At 48.2% G+C, this 16,888-nt stretch overlaps 1 protein-coding gene across 13 annotated transcripts in view, besides 1 other annotated feature; it reads left to right on the forward strand.

Moving 5' to 3' along the window:
* Window positions 1-16,888, forward strand: part of DPP6 (dipeptidyl peptidase like 6) — a 1,146,153-nt gene that overhangs the window by 1,013,672 nt on the left and 115,593 nt on the right. For all 13 annotated transcript variants that reach the window (NR_157195.2, NR_157196.2, XM_047419951.1 and 10 more), the window contains 2 exons: window positions 7,613-7,767; window positions 11,041-11,138. Coding sequence is in view for 11 of the 13 variants with exons in the window: in XM_047419951.1 (XP_047275907.1) it covers window positions 7,613-7,767; window positions 11,041-11,138 (253 nt within the window). In the remaining 2 variants the exon portion in view is untranslated. The remainder of the gene's footprint in view (window positions 1-7,612; window positions 7,768-11,040; window positions 11,139-16,888) is intronic.
* Window positions 5,685-6,225: an enhancer, noted in NCBI's record as "H3K4me1 hESC enhancer chr7:154559199-154559739 (GRCh37/hg19 assembly coordinates)". NCBI's record gives its function as "activates a minimal SCP1, AML or CMV promoter by ChIP-STARR-seq in primed H9 embryonic stem cells {active_cell/tissue: H9 hESC(primed)}" and the evidence as "EXISTENCE:reporter gene assay evidence [ECO:0000049][PMID:30033119]".

The raw sequence follows: 16,888 nt of genomic DNA on the forward strand, positions 1-16,888 counted from the left end.
GTCATTTACATTAGGTATATCTCCTAATGCTGTCATCCCCTTCCCCCACCCCATGACAGGCCCTGGTGTGTGATGTTCCCCACCCTGTGTCCAAGTGTCCTCATTGTTCAATTCCCACCTATGAGTGAGAACATGCAGTGTTTGGTTTTCTGTCCTTGCGATAGTTTGCTCAGAATGATGGTTTCCAGCTTCATCCATGTCCCAAACAGTCAGATCTCATGAGAAGCCGCTCACTATCATGAGGACAGCACGGAGTAGATGGTGCTAAACCATTTGTGAGAAATCCAACCCCATGATTCAGTGGCTCCCACCTGGCCCCGACTCTAGTATCAGAATGACAATTCAACATGAGATTCAGACAGGGACACACATCTGAACTATAACACACCCTTTATGACCTAGTCTCACAAGCCATCACTTTCTGCCACATTCTCTTCATTCAAAACACTGCCCTGGTTCAAGGAGCAAAGAATCACCTCTTCTTTGGGGAGTCTCACGCCCTGGAAGTAGCACTGAGGCTAGTTTTGGAAAATACAGTGTGCCACACTCACCAAGGCGTCAGTCTCTGTGAAGTAAATTATACTGAGACATCAGTGACTTCATAGAGAAAGGGCATGAATAACCCCTAACCACAAATAATGGCAAGAAGTATCCATGGAGGCATCTTGGGAAGAGGCTTCTGATGTTCCATGCCTACTCCAGGCAGCTGTGTGCCCCACGGCCTTCCGCAGTAGTTGAATTCGCAGACTGAGCATGGCATTGGACCCGATGGCCTTGCTTCCACTGAGCCTCTGCACAACACTGGCCTTGGGAAAGACCACAAAATAGTAACCGGCAGGGCTCAGTAGACCCGGAAGCTTAGAACCTGTAGAAAAGAGAAGGCTTCCTGTGATCCTCCTGCTTCAAGCAAGGGCTCCGCCATCTCTCCTGCAGATAAAAACTCAGGAACATTTTATGTTCTGCTTTTGGAGGGAGTTTATAACTTTACATTCTGTCTTAAAGAAAACACAAGTTTTGAATTCTGGGATACCGAGTTCCTAAAAGAAAATCCAGGCAACAGGAGGCTCCCAATGTGTCCAACCTGCCTCCGATGGTGCAATGAAACAGCAAGTACTAAGAAAATCACCAAAGTGTGGAAGTGGCAGGGGACTGCTTTAACAGCAAGAGAAGGAGAAATCTTAGTCGTGCTAGTTCCACATCGTGGCTGCCTTTGACTTCTGGCCATTTAGAAATGGCTCTGCTGCCAGCTGGGTGCGGTGGCTCACGCCTGTAATCCCAGCACTTTGGGAGGCCCAGGCGGGTGGATCACCCGAGGTCAGGAGTTTGAGACCAGCCTGGCCAACATGGTGAAACCCCGTCTCTACTAAAAATACAGAAATTAGCTGGGTGTGGTGGCGGGTGCCTGTAATCCTAGCTACTCAGAAGGCTGAGGCAGGAGAATCACTTGAACCTGGGAGGCAGAGGTTGCAGTGAGCCGAGATTGTGCCACTGCACTCCAGCCTGGATGATAGATCGAGACTCCATCTCAAAAAAAGGAAGGAAGGAAGGAAGGAGAGAGAGAGAGAGAGAGAGAAAGAAAGAAAGGGAAAGGGAGAAAAGAAAGGAAAGAAAGAAAAGAAAAATGGCTTGCTGCCGAGGGAAGAGAGAGAGATGAAATAAATATGTCTCCTCACCCTCTTCCTACCCCTGAGCTAGGCACAGTTCGCTTGTCCATATGATGAGATATAGATGCGAGGGTTTAGCTGTGGATTCCACAGCCTCCATCAGCAGCCTGCGTGCTCCTAATAAAAATGCATCCTAGCCTCCCACCTTGGCCTTTCCTCACCCAGAAAAACAAGGCCAGTGAGGTCCTAAAGAGCCTATTCTGCAGGAGCGCATGTGAGAAGAACTCTTAGAGAAACAGCAGCAAGTTCAATTTCCCCAGAGAACCCTAAAGCCTCCTATTTCCCTTCAGCCTCACGTCTGTGCTCCCTAAGCTGGCTTTGGATTTCTCTTTAGCTGGACTTCATTGGCAGGTGCGGCAGGAGGGTGTGGGGAGCCCCCTAGATACAACTGCCAAGGAGACTTTAAGTCTGCCTCACTCCCGGCCTCCCTTTTTGTACTTTCTAGAACTCCTCTTGGTGCCCTCTCTACCCACACCCCTGTGCCCTTTCTGCTGTGCACTCACCTTGCACAGACCTGTGGATTTGGATGCCCCACCTCCATCTGCACCACACCTGAGCTCTGTGGGCGCTCTTCACCTCTATGCCCTGGGCACTGCATCTTAGGCCTTGGATGTCATTTGGAAGCAGAGTCTCTCTTCCTTGTTAAAGCATTGCTGGGATACAGAGGGGAGAGCTGTCCTTTCCCGGGCTTGGGTCCTTTGTAGAAGCTAAAATGGCACCTGTTGGGCAGCTCTGTCTTCATCTTGTGAATGGAATTGACCACTCTCGCTCGGTGGATTTGCTAGAGGAGCTTCATCTGATGTTATACTAAGGACCTCAAGAATTCACCTTATTCTTGACCTGTTAGGTCCATGAAAGTGTTACTGTAACCTGCGTGGCCAATGAGATCTCCACTCCAGCCAGCAAGAAGTGGGAAAGAGAGGCGGTGGTCATACCCTTTCTCCTTAAAGGCGGAAGACAGGTGTCACTCATCACCTTTTCTCAACCCAGCAGCAGGAACTCAGCACACACCCAACCTCACATCTGGGGAGTCTGGGAAAGGTCTTTATCCTGGGAGGCCGTGTGCCCACCTACAAGCCATTGGTTCTTTTACTAAAAAGAGAAGGGAGTGTGGGTGTTGGAGGACAATGAGCAGGTTCTGCCATTCCACCTTCCACAAGAGGCTTCTCTAATTTCCTCCAATAAGAAAGAGGCCTCTCTGTATTCCCAGACCCCATAGTTCTTTCTGGTTTCTACCTTGCCCACTTTCCCCGAGTTGCAAGTTGCAGTTCTCCTTCTGTTTACTGTATTACAAACTTCCAAGCTTTGTCTCTACTTTACTATACCCTAGGGAATTGTGTGTACTGAGTACTCAGTCTTTGTTCAATAAGGTTAATTTCCCTGAACCTCCAATTCCTCAGTTGTAAAGGGGCACTTAATATAAGCTTGTAGGTGCATCACATTCTCTCCAGAGAGAGAACTCACTCCTAAGAAAGCAGCACCAAACCATTCATGAGAGATCCACCCCCATAACCCAGACACCTCCCACTAGTCCCCACCTCCCAACACCTCCACATTGGGAATTAGATTTCAACATGAGCTTTAGTGGGGACAAACAAACCACTTCCAAACCACAGCACACATATGAATGAGATCATTCGGCATTCGTCTTTCTGTTTCTGGTTTATTTCACTTAGCACAAGTCCTCCAGGTTTATCTACTATGTTGCAAATGCCAGGATTTCCTCTCTTCTAGCTAGTCATTGTTAACCAGAATGTGCACCAAACTCACCTGAAGAGGTTTTGCAGAAAAGGAGCCTGTATCCTCCTCACTGCCCCCACCAAATACCAGTTCTCCTGCCTGAAGTGCAGCCTCAGCATCTGTATAAGCAGCACACACATGCGCACAACAGTCCAATGGAGTCCCCTGCAAACCTACCTAAACCTCACTAGGCAAATAGGAAATAATAGTGGTGGTCACCTCTTCATCTGTCAAACAACCTGGAAAATGTGAAGATTCCTCTTCATTGTTGCATTGGCCTTTATTACCTTGAGCACAAAGGGATTTTTCTCCTACTGGATATGACCTTAATGCTGCTTGGCAGGAATGAATAACACTCCAGATAATGGCACTGGCTTCTTCAAGGTATAGTGACAAAAAATGAAAAATACCCAGCCCAGATCCTACCTGGGGCTGAAGCTCTGGATACAACTTTTGCCATCTTCAAGAGAGAAGCAGCCATTGAACACCGACTGTCCCCGGATGTATCTTTCTTTTCTGATGCTAAAATAGCCCCCCAGCAGGACAGGGAAGGTGAAGAAAAGATGTATTCTCTAGTTTTCCCAAGTTAATTATACTTGCTCAGAAAGCCAAGTGATTCATTTTGTTCCAAGGCAGGCGTCCATGCAATTAATTTCGTTGATGAAATAGGTTTTCTTCTGCAAAACTCTGCTTCTAAACTGCATTTGGTGCATGGCATTTAAGCCAACTGCCTCATTAAGCTGGAATCCTGCAGAAAAATGTTTGCAGAATAGGGACATTTGGAATTAATGCTAAAATGTCAAGGTTTCTTCTGCCCAGCACTTTTTTACCCCTTAGTTTCTTATACTTCATTATCACATTAATGAGCAACTAACGTACAGGAAAATAAAAATGGCAAGGAGCGATGTGTTCAAGGACACCTAGGGAAAATAAACTAAAGCTGCCCTAGTTTTGTACGGCTGGCATTTTGGCGTGGCACAGGTTCTTCGCATGTGCCACTGTCTCGATGTGGAATGACATTCAGAGGAACTACCCTCTGCCATCACACACACCAGATACCTGTCATCCCTGAACCCGATGACCCAATGGTCGCTAAGTTCCCTTCTTTTATTTTATTTTATTTTTTTGAGACCTAGTCTCACTCTGTCACCCAGGCTGGAGTACGGTGGCAAGATCTCGGCTCACCGCAACCTCCCAGGTTCAAGTAATGATTCTCCTGCCTCAGCCTCCCGAGTAGCTGGGATTACAGGTGTGCGCCCAGCTAATTTTTGTATTTTTAGTACAGACAGGGTTTCACCGTGTTGACCAGAATGGTCTCGAACTCCTGACCTCAAGTGATCCACCCACCTCAGCCTCCCAAAGTGCTGAGATTAAAGGCGTGTCTCTAAGTTTCCTTCTAACCGTTACATTTGGTAACCTGTAGTGATGGTTTTGTTCTACCTCCCAGTTCTCTGAAGAGTGAATTGAGCTTCATGGAAACACTCTGGCATTTGCTGATAAGATCGATGGAAATAGAGTATTCTCAGCCCAGCCTTGTGGCCAGCCTTCACCCACATTTTTTTCAGTCTCTTGTCCCAACAAGCATGACCCACTTTGGACTGTGCTGGTCAGAACCAAGCAGCAGCATTTCCTTTAGGTCAGAGAGCGAGTCTAGAAATGAGATACAAACAACCCTGGGTGGAAATGAGGGGTGACCCTTGCCCCCCCTTGCCTAGTGGCCTCTTGTGGAACCTACGGGGTAGGAATGAAAGTGGCCTGATGTTGCACGTGGCCGATGATTTATCATCCCTCTGGTCTCAGAAAAGATTGCTTTGGGTTCAAAGGAAAGAAAGAAATGAGTTGTCTCTTCGGGGGTTTTGTTGTTATTGTTGTTTGTTTGTTTCTGTCCAAAGCTGCTTCATTTTTAAAGCTCTTGTTGCAGCCAGCCGTTTTTCTGTTTTGGATTTTCCCGAGTCGGCTGTGAATTAATGTCCCGTGGAAACCACTGCAGGGCTCCTCTGCTGATTTCTGTGGGCTCTGCACCTTCTCGCTCTGCCCTGTGAATTCTGCTCACTCCCAGGGACTCTACTCCAGCCCCATTGGCCCCTTTCTTGTGGCCCTGCAGCGCAGACGTGATTGAGCACAATCACCCACAAATTGCATTGCAAATGGTGCCTATTTTTTCCAGCAGACCATCTGCTGGAGTCAATTACTCACCATTCCAAGCGAGCAGCCTGGGCAGATCTGGTGACTCTGCATAAAGTCACTTCTGAGTCACCTCATCCCAAACTCGCACCTGAACGTCCACCTCCTGGCTGCCAAAGCGACTGGAAAATTACAGACCCTGGAGGTCTGGCTTCCTTCCTTTGTCTTCTCCTCACTGACCTCCACAGGCCTCTGAGCTTCTATTGGCACTGCCAAAGCTTCTGAGGCTGTGAGACAGACGCAGAGGGGAAGGGGATGCTAGAGGCGGCTGTTGTGCCCCTAGCTTTGCAGATCGGGACTCAAGAACACACAGCAGGACTGGGGCTCAAGTCCAGTGCACCAGGGCTCCTGAATTCATTTTTCCCTGAGCACTGCTCTCCATACTCCGGGATGCACCAGAGTACAGGAGGTCAAACCCGCCACAGGGTTTGTATTTCAGGAGACTCTACTGAGATGTTCAGGAGTCTGCAGCAGACTCGGCATTGCCTTCGGTGGGGGGCTGTCTGCTGGGGAGTCTGACCAAGGCAAGATGAGGAAGACTCACGTGACAGGGGAGCGAGGCTCAATGAGCTGCAGCATCCCCATCAGTGCCATGCCAGATGCCACAGACATCTGGGCAGGGAGGGGCAGGGCATGCAGGCACATCACACCCTCAGCCCCACTGCCCTTAGAGCCTGGCTCCTGCTCCCACCCCAGGAGGATCATGGGCAGCGTGCCTGCTGCAGGCCTCTGGGCTTGGCTGTGAAATGCCACCATGGATGACACTGACCTGGCGCTAAGCCCCCCTTCATGAACCCTCCTCCCGGCCAGCTGGTCTCCTCCTGGTGCCTCCCGCAGAACCTGGGAGGCTGTTGATGTGGGCTGCTTCTTCCCTGTCTGGGACTGTGCCCTCCTGTGGGCAGTCAGCCCTTGGCTTCCTTCCAATTTACATTGTTCTGTTGCATTTGATGCCCTCGTTTTGTTTTTGCAATGTGTTTTCAGGCTTCTTAATCACCTTTCTACACTACAGGTACATAGAGCAGATTTATGGTACGCACCTAATAATAGCGAGTTGAATGGGACTCATGAATTATATTAATCATTATTTTAGAAGCAAATCTAGAGGGAATTAGTTTACACTATATATAGACCCAGTACAAGACAGAACCCCTTGACCTAAGAGCTGTTCACAATGAAATGGGTTCTCTGACTGGTTACCCTTGGGAAGTGTATTCTCCCAACGTGTTGAAAAAAACGCTGTAGAAATTTCCCCTCTAGAATAGATATCACACCCTACAAAACTCATCTGTCGTTAAAACACTAACCAGGACACTGATGGGCTAGGAAGGAATAATGGGTGTTTCTGGTTGAAGCCCAAAAGAATCAGTCTTTCATTTCAGTCCTTCTGAAGATGGATCCATTTTGGTTTTCTGCCATGCATAGTGAGCTTGTACCCTTCTTGTAAGAAGCCACACAGAGTGAGCTTGCACCCTTTGTGTGCTGCAAGGAGCATGCTGGGCCTTTGGACTCATTATCTGAGGAGGGAGCTCTGTGTGTGCGTAAATCCCTGGTCTGCTTTTGGGCGACTCAGCCTCTGCCAGAGTTCACTTTCTCATTTGGTTCCGTCTGCATGGGACACGCTTCCATGTGAATTTACTTTCTCCAGTGCTGTTTTTCAAATCATATTAAGTAATAATCAACAATAGTACAATCATAGTTCAACTCAAAAGGACGTGTTGGGCTCATAGTGCTCAAATGTGTGCAAAGAAAAAAAAAGTGTTTCCAGACGATTAGCATCTGTTTGATTGAGCTTTGGTTAATGGGGTTTTCCTGTGCTGGACTTAGTCATCAGCATCAGACATTTCTTGAGCCCCCATGGAATGGAAGCATGTGCAGAACACAGTGAAGGTTCCTCAAAGGTTGTAGCAGATAAGGGGCTCTGCAGGGACTCGTTTCTTTCCTGGCCACCTCATGTTCCTGCTGGTGCAGCTCCAATTTCCACTCACTTGTTACTATTCACATTTCTCTACTCTGTTTTCCCTTAGAGGAGATTTTGAAGACACACATCGCACACTGGTGGTCTCCGGATGGCACGAGACTCGCCTACGCCGCCATCAATGATTCCCGTGTCCCCATCATGGAGCTCCCAACTTACACCGGCTCCATCTACCCCACCGTGAAGCCCTACCACTATCCCAAGGTAGGCAAAGGGACACCGCACAGCAAATTCTTTATATTATTCATGAACACCCCAACCCTGCTCACTCAGTGTGCAGACGTGATCATCAGACATGTGTATGAGCAAAGCAGTTAACACAAGAAAGACTAATCATGTCTCATTACATTGCATTACATTCCCGCCTCTGTTGAGCTGAGTCATTGGCAGGTTTACTTCTTTTAGGTAACCGAACTAATGTTCATCACCTGACTCAGCTTCACTGAACCAAAACACACAGGGTACCTCCCCTCACCACTCCCCAGTGATGAAGGTGCACCTGCCCTCTCTCACGCATCTTATTTCTACTTTGAGTTTGGCCTCTGGGAAGGCAGAAAGACTTCCATCTGCCCCTGGTCCCCTGGGTCTGGGCAAGGCTGTTTTGTTCATGGTCACTGCTACGGGCTAAATGTTTGTGTCCTTGCCAAATTCATACATTAAAATCCTAACCCCCAAGGTGATGGTATTAGGAGGGAGATCACTGGGAGGTGACAAGACATGGAGGGCAGAGCCTTCATGATTGGGATTAGTGCCCTTATGTATTTGTCTATTTTCATGCTGCTGATTAAGACATACCCAAGACTCAGCAATTGAGAAAAGAAAGATTTATTGGACTTACAGTTCCACGTGGCTGGGGAGGCCTCACGATCATGTCAGAAGGTGAAAGGCACGTCTTACATGGCGGCAGACAAGAGGAGAGAGTTTGTGCCGGGAAACTCACCTTTTTAAAACCATCAGATCTTGTGAGACTTATTCACTATCAGGAGAACAGCATGGGAAAGACCTGCTCCCATGATTCAATTACCTCCCACCAGGTCCCTCCCTCATCTTGGGAATTCAAGATGAGATTTGGGTGGGGACACAGTCAAACCATATCACCTTATAAAAGAGACCCCAGAGAGACCCCTCTCTGATTCCACCATGTGACCATACAGCAAGAAAGCGTCCTCTGTGAACCAGAAATTGGGCCCTCGCCAGATACTGAATCAGCCAGCACCTTGATCTTGGACTTCCAGTCCCCAGAGCTGTGAGAGATACATTGCTATTGTTTGTGAGCCAGTCAGTTTATGGTGTTTTGTTACAGCAGCCTAGAGGGGCCAAGACAGTCATGTTCTGACCCAATGAGCCAGTAGAACAGCAAGTGTCCAGTGGCTGGGAGGGAATATTGGGGGGAACAGGGATATCCAAATCTCACTTTATTACCAAATCAAAGCATCCCAGTGTGAGTGGAGGGCCTGATACTAAAACCTCCACAGCCACTCAGCTGGAGAGAAGCCAGTGCCCGAGTATGGACACAGCTCCCATGGACACATAGAGTCTGCCATGCTGGCTTCTGGCTTCACTAGGCTTCTCCAAGACCCCTGGGCTTGGTGGAGGTGAGCAGTTTCCTGCCTGCACCCTGCCTGGTGACTGGAGGCTCACTTCCTGCCATGAGCTGCCTCTGCCAGGGGGCATTTAAACCTCAGCATCCTAGCCCACCAGAGAGCTCTGAAAGCTGATGGTATGTGCCTGCTCTGCCATAATCATCCCCACAGACCAGCTGGCTTACAGTTTGCAGCAAGAGGAGTGATAACTTATAAGGCAGATATATGAGGCCAGTGAGGTTCCCAGAGTCACAGCCTAGAGAAAGGAAACACCTGGTGTCTTAGTCAGTTCCAGCTGCCACAATGAAATAACACAGACCTAGGCAGCTTAAACAGCAGGAATTTCTTTCTCACAGTTTTGGCAGCTGGAAGTCCAAGATTAGGGTTCCGGCTGATTTGGTTCCTGGTGAGGGCTCTCTTCCTGGCTTGCAGACAGCCGCCTTCTCGCCATGTCTTCACATGAAGGGGCAAGAGAGGGCTCTGGTGTCTCTTCCTCTCCTTTTGTGGACATGGATCTCATCACAAGGGTGCCACCCTCATGACCTTGTCTAACCTCAATCACCTCCCAAAGGTCTTACTTCCAAATAGCATCACACTGGGGGTTAGGGCTGCACCGTATGAATTGAGGAACTTGTTCCATCCATACACCTGGTAATACAGGCTCCTTTCAACAGCCTTTGATCAGCATGGCCAACATCTAAGAGAGCCCCAGAAGGAAGAAGAATGAGACCCTTATGGCCACAGCCTTCCTTTCTGCCTTTTCCAATTCTGAGAGCATCTGGATGTTAACATGGCATGGATTTGCCTTCGACAGAATTATTTCACTCCTTTTTCAGCTAACCTTGATTGGTCTTAGTCTGTAGCATGTGGAAGGGTCCAGCATTTTAGTTGGAAGCATAATTAAATAGAGAAAAGTGTATGGGACTGATGCTAGTTCCTTCTAACCCTTCTACATTTCTTACCAGCTGTTCACAGCCACCCCACCCGCCAGAAGAGCTGGTGGCTGTCTGACCTTCATCCAACCCAGAGATGAATGGTTCCCATGGTTATCTTTTTGTGGGAGTTTCCCCAGTCTAGGAGTGATAACCTGGAATCCAGTAGGGTGCCCTTGATTTTACAGTGAACTCTCAGAAGGTGCTCTGAAGCTGGGATTATGAAATCCCAGATTACTCAAGATTTGGGGTTTCATATTTTAATAGAAAACCAACATTCTGGCTGACAGAATTCAGATGCTCCTTGCCCCATTCCCACCCACTCCTAAATCAGAGGCATGAATAGGCAAGCCTGCCTGACATGCCCTGTCGTGGGCCTGATAGCCTCTGTAAACCTGAACATCTTCTGCAGGGTGGAAGTGAGAACATCAGACAACACCCCGAAGTCCCCCTAAAGAGGAAGCCCCACATCTCTCCCCAGACCCATACTTGTCCCCCAGAGAGTGGGGAACAGGGAAGCAGAATAGTGCCCCAGTTCCTTTTTGAAGGACTTAATCTCTCCCCATGCTGAGCATGGCCACCGCTCCTCAATGTCCATCATTTGCTCACCTCCAACTCTCCCCTTCCTGGCATCCAATCCATCTTTTCTCCCCCACTCCTCTTCTCGTCTTCTCTTTTAAGCAAGGGGCTCAGTACTCACTTGACATTGCCAAACCGGGGAGTTGGGTGGAATGGGAAGCGGATGGGATTCTAGAAAAGCAAGAATCAGCCCACTTAGCCCTTTGTCCTTTTGAAACCCTACACATGAACCATTTGTTCTCCACATTAATTCTGCTCCTTAATATGGAGCTCCAGTGTCCTGGAGTCCCACCTCGGAATCTCCCAGGAAAGGCTTTGCAGAGCTGAAGTTCACTCTTGTATAAGGCTGCTTGTTCATGTCTCTGCCCCTTTTTAATCCCCAGGCTGGAAGTGAGAACCCCAGCATTTCCCTACACGTTATTGGCTTAAATGGACCCACCCATGATCTGGAGATGATGCCGCCTGATGATCCACGGATGAGGTTTGCTTCCTTCTATTATGTTACCAAAAAAAAAAAAAAACTAAGATGAATGTTCAATGTGCATGGTCTCTTCTGGATCAGATTTATCTTACAACAAGTTTAAACATCCAAGAAAAAGGTACCTTTCCTAAAGATTTCCTCACTGCTTTATGATTCCATTTTCTAGGAAAAGAATACCATTCACCAAGTACTATTATTTTTTACCTTAGGTCAGATGCAGGTTATCCTCCTGAGAGCTGGGCTCCTCTGGGAGGGGCATGGCTGGGCCCCAGGCCTGCCTCAGGGGGACACCAGAGGAAATGATGCGGTCTTCCCAAGACAATCCATGGAGTCTGACCTTCCATAAATGGTGCTCTGTATTTAGAGCATTTTTTAGAGCATGGAGCAATTTGCCAGTGGCAAATTCTATTCTAATAAAGCCACATCTCCCAGTTGGTAAGGTCGCAACCCTGTGGAAGGTATTAACAATGTTATTGAGTTATTATTATTAGCATCTGATTGTGGTCGCTTTTTTCTAAATCAAAACAACTGATTTAGGATCGAATGTAGTGATCTGAATATCAGTTTAGTATTTTCCCCAAATTCAAGCAGCGTGGGGAATGATTATACTTCCAGAGTCCAGCTATAACATCATCAGCCTTCTCTCTGTTAAGGATATTGATGAGAGACTCAAAAAGAGGAGGGGATTTTAGGGGTGCCAGGACCCACCCAAGTATAGATTCTGAAATTTCATGAATGGCACTATTTAAACTAAGAATAACTCATTCTGAGGCTCAGCAAAGACCCAACCCATATTTTGCTATACCTCCAGCCTGGGCCTTTATTATTCCATTCAAAGCTCCATATTACTAGTAGCTTCTGGCAGCTTCTGGAAAGGGCAGGAATCGAGGCCTCAGGTCTAGCTCGGGGATGGATGCTCCAGCACCTGGTGACTCTGGACCTCTCTGAATGATGTGCTGGTCTCCTGCAGTGGCTCCAGTGCCACCTTTGCCCCACACCCTGAGCTCCTGCACAGAAGCCCGAGGCCTCTGCAGAATTCTACTGCGATTCCTTCCCCTCATCTTTCTTCAGTGAAACTTATAATGTTGTAAGATCCCCAAGTGGATGGATGAAGCCCAGAAGCCCAGTGCTCTAGGAAGCGTGAGGCACTGCCTGCCCCTCTCAGCCCTGCATGGGTCTTCTCCCCAACATAGGAGGGCCTGTGGCTCTAGAGGTTTAATGAACCTGGCCCCCAGCAGCTGGTCCCAGGGACAACTGGTCACTGGGGTATCAGCCCAAGGTGTGCGCTGGTTTGGAGAGTTGAATTGATTTGGCTGGTGATATTTTTGCTGAGATTTAAAAAAAAAAGTTCAGATGATTGCTTTGGCTTTTCTCCTAAAGTTCCATATATTTTATTGTTTTCCTTTCAGCCCCCATCCCTGCCAAGCCTCCTGGGGCCTGGTCCAGCAAACTCACTGAATTAATATGGAAAGTCACCTGGAAAATTTCAGCCATCTGTTTGAGTTAATTGAAAATCTCGTTTAGTCAATTTGGTGATGCTGTTTCCACAGGCTTGATTAGCTTCAAGGACAATGAAAAATTAGCGTCAGCCAGGACTTGAAGCCTGGATGCTGGGCTTCAGGTTTTCTGGTTGCTCTCATTTCCTAAGCTCAATGCAATAATGCATTTTATATGCAATGTAAATTTGTAGCATGTAAATGTCACACTTTCTCATACTGCTTCTCTATCACACATCTTTGAGAGTTTTTAAAAGTCCACACAGATATATCAGAAATCCCAGGCTCAATGTAGAGCAGATGTTTAGTATTTGCCAGCCATTTGCCTGAGCACTGGGAATTTGGTGGCAAATGAACCATGGAGTTCACAGTGTGGAGGGGAACCTGGATCCTGAAGAAGTCATTACTAGCAAGTAAATCCCTGCAGGTGTGAGAAGGGCTGTGGAAACGTGTGGAAGAGGAGGCCACCTGGTCTGGAGGGTGGCAGTGTCACGGCTGAGGTCAGAGTTTCTGCATGTCCATGCTACTGACATTTGGGGCTCAGCAATTCAGTGCTGTAGGGGGCAGTCCTGTGTGCCGTAGAGCACTAGGCAGCATCCCTGGCCTTACACATTAGATGCTGTCATATCTGCCTTTTCCCCCTCCAGTTGTGACCATCACAAATGTCTCCAGCATTGCCCAGTGTCCCCAGATTGAGGACTACTGGTTTCAAGTGAAGGTTCTCTAGCCAACTGCCTGGGTTCGAGTTCTGGCTCTGTGGACTCTGTCAAGTTACTCAGCCTCCCTGCTTCAGTTTCCTCATCTGTAAAATGGAGATAATTTTAATAAGAAACATGTTTACTCTCGTGGACAGTTGTGAAAGTTAGATGAGATAAGGCAAGGATCATAGGGCTGGTTCCTCCAATCGTTCCATCTTGTGGCTATACATACCCCTTGTATGTGGACAACTCTCCCCTGTGTACCTCAACCTGGCCTGGGTCAGGACTCTAGGTTCAAAAAGCCAACCACCCAACCAGCATTTCTACTGGGAGTGGTCACCATATAATTTTTAAATGGTCAAATTGTGATTCTCAGACAAAATCAATCAACATGTGTCCAAGACTTTATTAAACTCATTAATTAATAAGGGAACCAGTGAGCTCTTAAAAAGAGGCCATAGAACCATCGAGAAGCTAGTTGTATAGAGGCAATTGAACAAGGACATCCTAGGGTGAGTCTGCCGGGTTACTCAGCCATCCGGGAGAGACGCCTACCCCAGCAGGGTTGAGACCGCCCCTGCAATTGGAAATCAAGCCCAGCATGTCCCTGGAGAAGGGCCCAGTGATCCCACCTGCCTCTTTACCACCTTCAGATCCATTTGCTGACACTGTCTACACAGCATCTCAGGCCGAACCCGGTCAAAGCCAACCTCCCACTCTCCTTGTCTACACCTGCTCCCTGCAGTCTCCCCATCATGGTCCAGGGCAACTCCACCTTCCAGGATCCCCGGCCTCCTTTACGTCCCTCTGTGCTGGGGACCCTCCTTGGCAGGTGCCTGGCATCAGCCTGCAACCCCCCGCCGTTCCCCACTCCTCCCTGGCCTGGCCCACCAGCACTGCCCCCTCCTGCCCCACCCACTGCTGACCCCACACAGCAGCCAGAGTAACCCTTTAAATGACATCAGGCCACGTACCCGCTGCTCCCAGACATCTAGTGGCTTCTATTTCTCTCCAAGTAAAGGCCAGACTTCCTACAGTGGCCTCAGAAGCCCCCATGATAGATGATAGATAGATAGATAGATAGATAGATAGATAGATAAACAGATACATAGATAGATAGATAGATGATTGATAGACAGATAGATAGATAGGCCATGCACCCTTTCTATCCCCCCTCACATCGGCTGGGTCACTCCCATACGAGGATCTGCACAGAGGCTCCCCTCTGCCCAGAGAGCTCCTCCCCACTTAGGTCCTGATCAAATATATGGTTCCCACAGTGACTTCCCTGATAACCACATTTCACATGGCAGCCCCACCCCGCTTCCATTTTCTTCCTTCAATTCATCCCAGTGGAATTTTTAGATACTTTTTTAAATTGTTTCATTTTCATTTTCCCGCCTGCCACCTAGAACAGGAAGTTGTTGAGGCAGGGACGTTAGTTCCTGTGGGGCGGGCCCTGGCTCCAGTTCTGCAGCAGGGCTCTGGAACCTTGGCTGGATGGATGTATTGACTTCAAATTTAGCCGGTAAAATCTTATTTGCATGGGATTCTTGAAGCTTGAGATATCTTCAGTTGTGCTGGTACCTTTCTAAGAACCAAAACTTACTTGCTATTTAGCCATGGATGACATCTTGTCCTCTCAAGCACAAGATGCTAAAGGAACTAACTGAAACTAAGACACCTCGTCTGTGGAGGGACACAAAAGGAATGAACCCTAAGCCATGCCCCTGAGCACCTAGGAAGGGAGACATGCAGAGGTTTCTGGAAGCCTGCAGTTTATTTCAGCAGGCTAGCTCACGAACCAAGAGGAAGGGAGAAAGCAGTTCATGTATCTGCTATCTAACCTTTATGCCACTCATTTTCAATTATTTTTTCCTGTTTGTTTGCTTGTTAACTAGATTGACTTCTCCGATGGTTCTCAGATGCAGGGAGAGTTAAGTCTGCTCTTTCAAATCTTTGCATTGGCAAGCACTTACTCATCATCCATGTGGCATGTGCTGTGTGAGGCCCTTGGGTGATTAAGACGTGTGGCCTCTCCTAATGAGAGCTCACATTCCAAGAGGCCTGGACAGCTTGTAGCCAGAGTCTGCATGGAAGTGTGGAAGGAGCCACACCTAGGAGCAGAGGTGCCCCTTGTGGGGTGAGTGGGAAGTGTTCAGGATGGTTTTGCAGATGTCAGAAGGATCCCGGGGCAAAATTGGAGGCCCTCTTGGGAAACGGTTCTATTAAAGAGAACTAAGAGCGGTGGGCCCAGAGTAGAGCTCAGCCTTCCTTGGGCTAATGCAGGGACCCAGGCCTTGTTAAGCTGAACCTGACCAGGAAAGAATAAACACTGTCTATCCTGTGGGTGGAAAAAAATAAATGCAAATCGCTGTGCTGTGGTTTCTATGCTTTCACACAGAAACCCAGCTGCACTGATAAAACAAATGCGCTTGTTTTCTGCTGGTTTCCTCCGGCCTTTCCCGAGCAGTTGAGCTGCGTGTTGAGTTAAGATGCGGCAGATAGCCAGCACGATCATTCTGAAGACATGTTGCCCTGTGCTGATATGTGCTGTTATTTGCCTCCAAAGATCCTGTTTGGATGCAGCGCAGCTGCTCTTCTCCTGATTCCCTGGCAAGCAGAGGCGGTAAAGGGCTCCCAGAACCCAAGACACAAAACCAACCATGTCCCTGATGCACCTGTGCGCAGCTGTGGGGGCTCACTCCTCCACCACCCGCTTCCACGGCTCACGAAAGGCTCAGAGGCCTCTCACTTTCATTTTCTTTTGCTTCCATTTATTTGTTTTGATCCCAAGCACCAAGGATTTAGATGCTGTGCAGCTCCTGGCACAGAAGCATGGTCGGTCCATGCAGGCCTCTCTCATTTTATTGATTTGCTCTTTTTCAACTTTAGTCCCTACTCCCATGCCCTCGCCACCTCATAGGCACTTATGTCGAATGCTTAGAGGACCTTTGTTCCTCTGTGTTTTTGTAAAGCCTGTATTGTTGCTTGGGTATGTGCGCGCTTACTTTACATCAATGGCATTGTGATAGAGAGCCAGATAAGCTACAGGATAGAAACAGATAGAGCTCCAGACATAGATGTCTGTTTCTCCTATTTTCCTGTGAGCACCATGTGGAGACCTAGCACACCCATGTGTATTTGACCAACCCACGGTTTCTAACTGCACACAGTGATGCCAGATGCCCCCAGCTCCTGGGCAGCTTACAACCTCATGGCCTTCTCTGCCTCCAGGCTTCTCCCCAATATGCACTGCCCATGACACCTCCATGCTGACCCTGATGCGAAACTCAGCCTTCTCTCTTTCCAATTTATACAAAACATGGTATGTGCACGAGTTTTGGGAAAGCTGAGGGTCATCAGGGCCATGAAAACAGCACAGAACAATAGAGTTCTCATACCTAATGGCTTGAGCACCCCCCCCCAAAAAAAACCACCACCATCATCAGTACCACCTCTTCCCCAACCTTCACCACCTATACAACCTCCACCACCACCACACCACCACCACCACAACCTCTACAACTTCCAACACCACCTTCACCACCAGCTC

Source organism: Homo sapiens, chromosome 7 (assembly GCF_000001405.40).
Source record: "Homo sapiens chromosome 7, GRCh38.p14 Primary Assembly".
NCBI classification, from domain to species: Eukaryota; Metazoa; Chordata; class Mammalia; order Primates; family Hominidae; genus Homo; species Homo sapiens.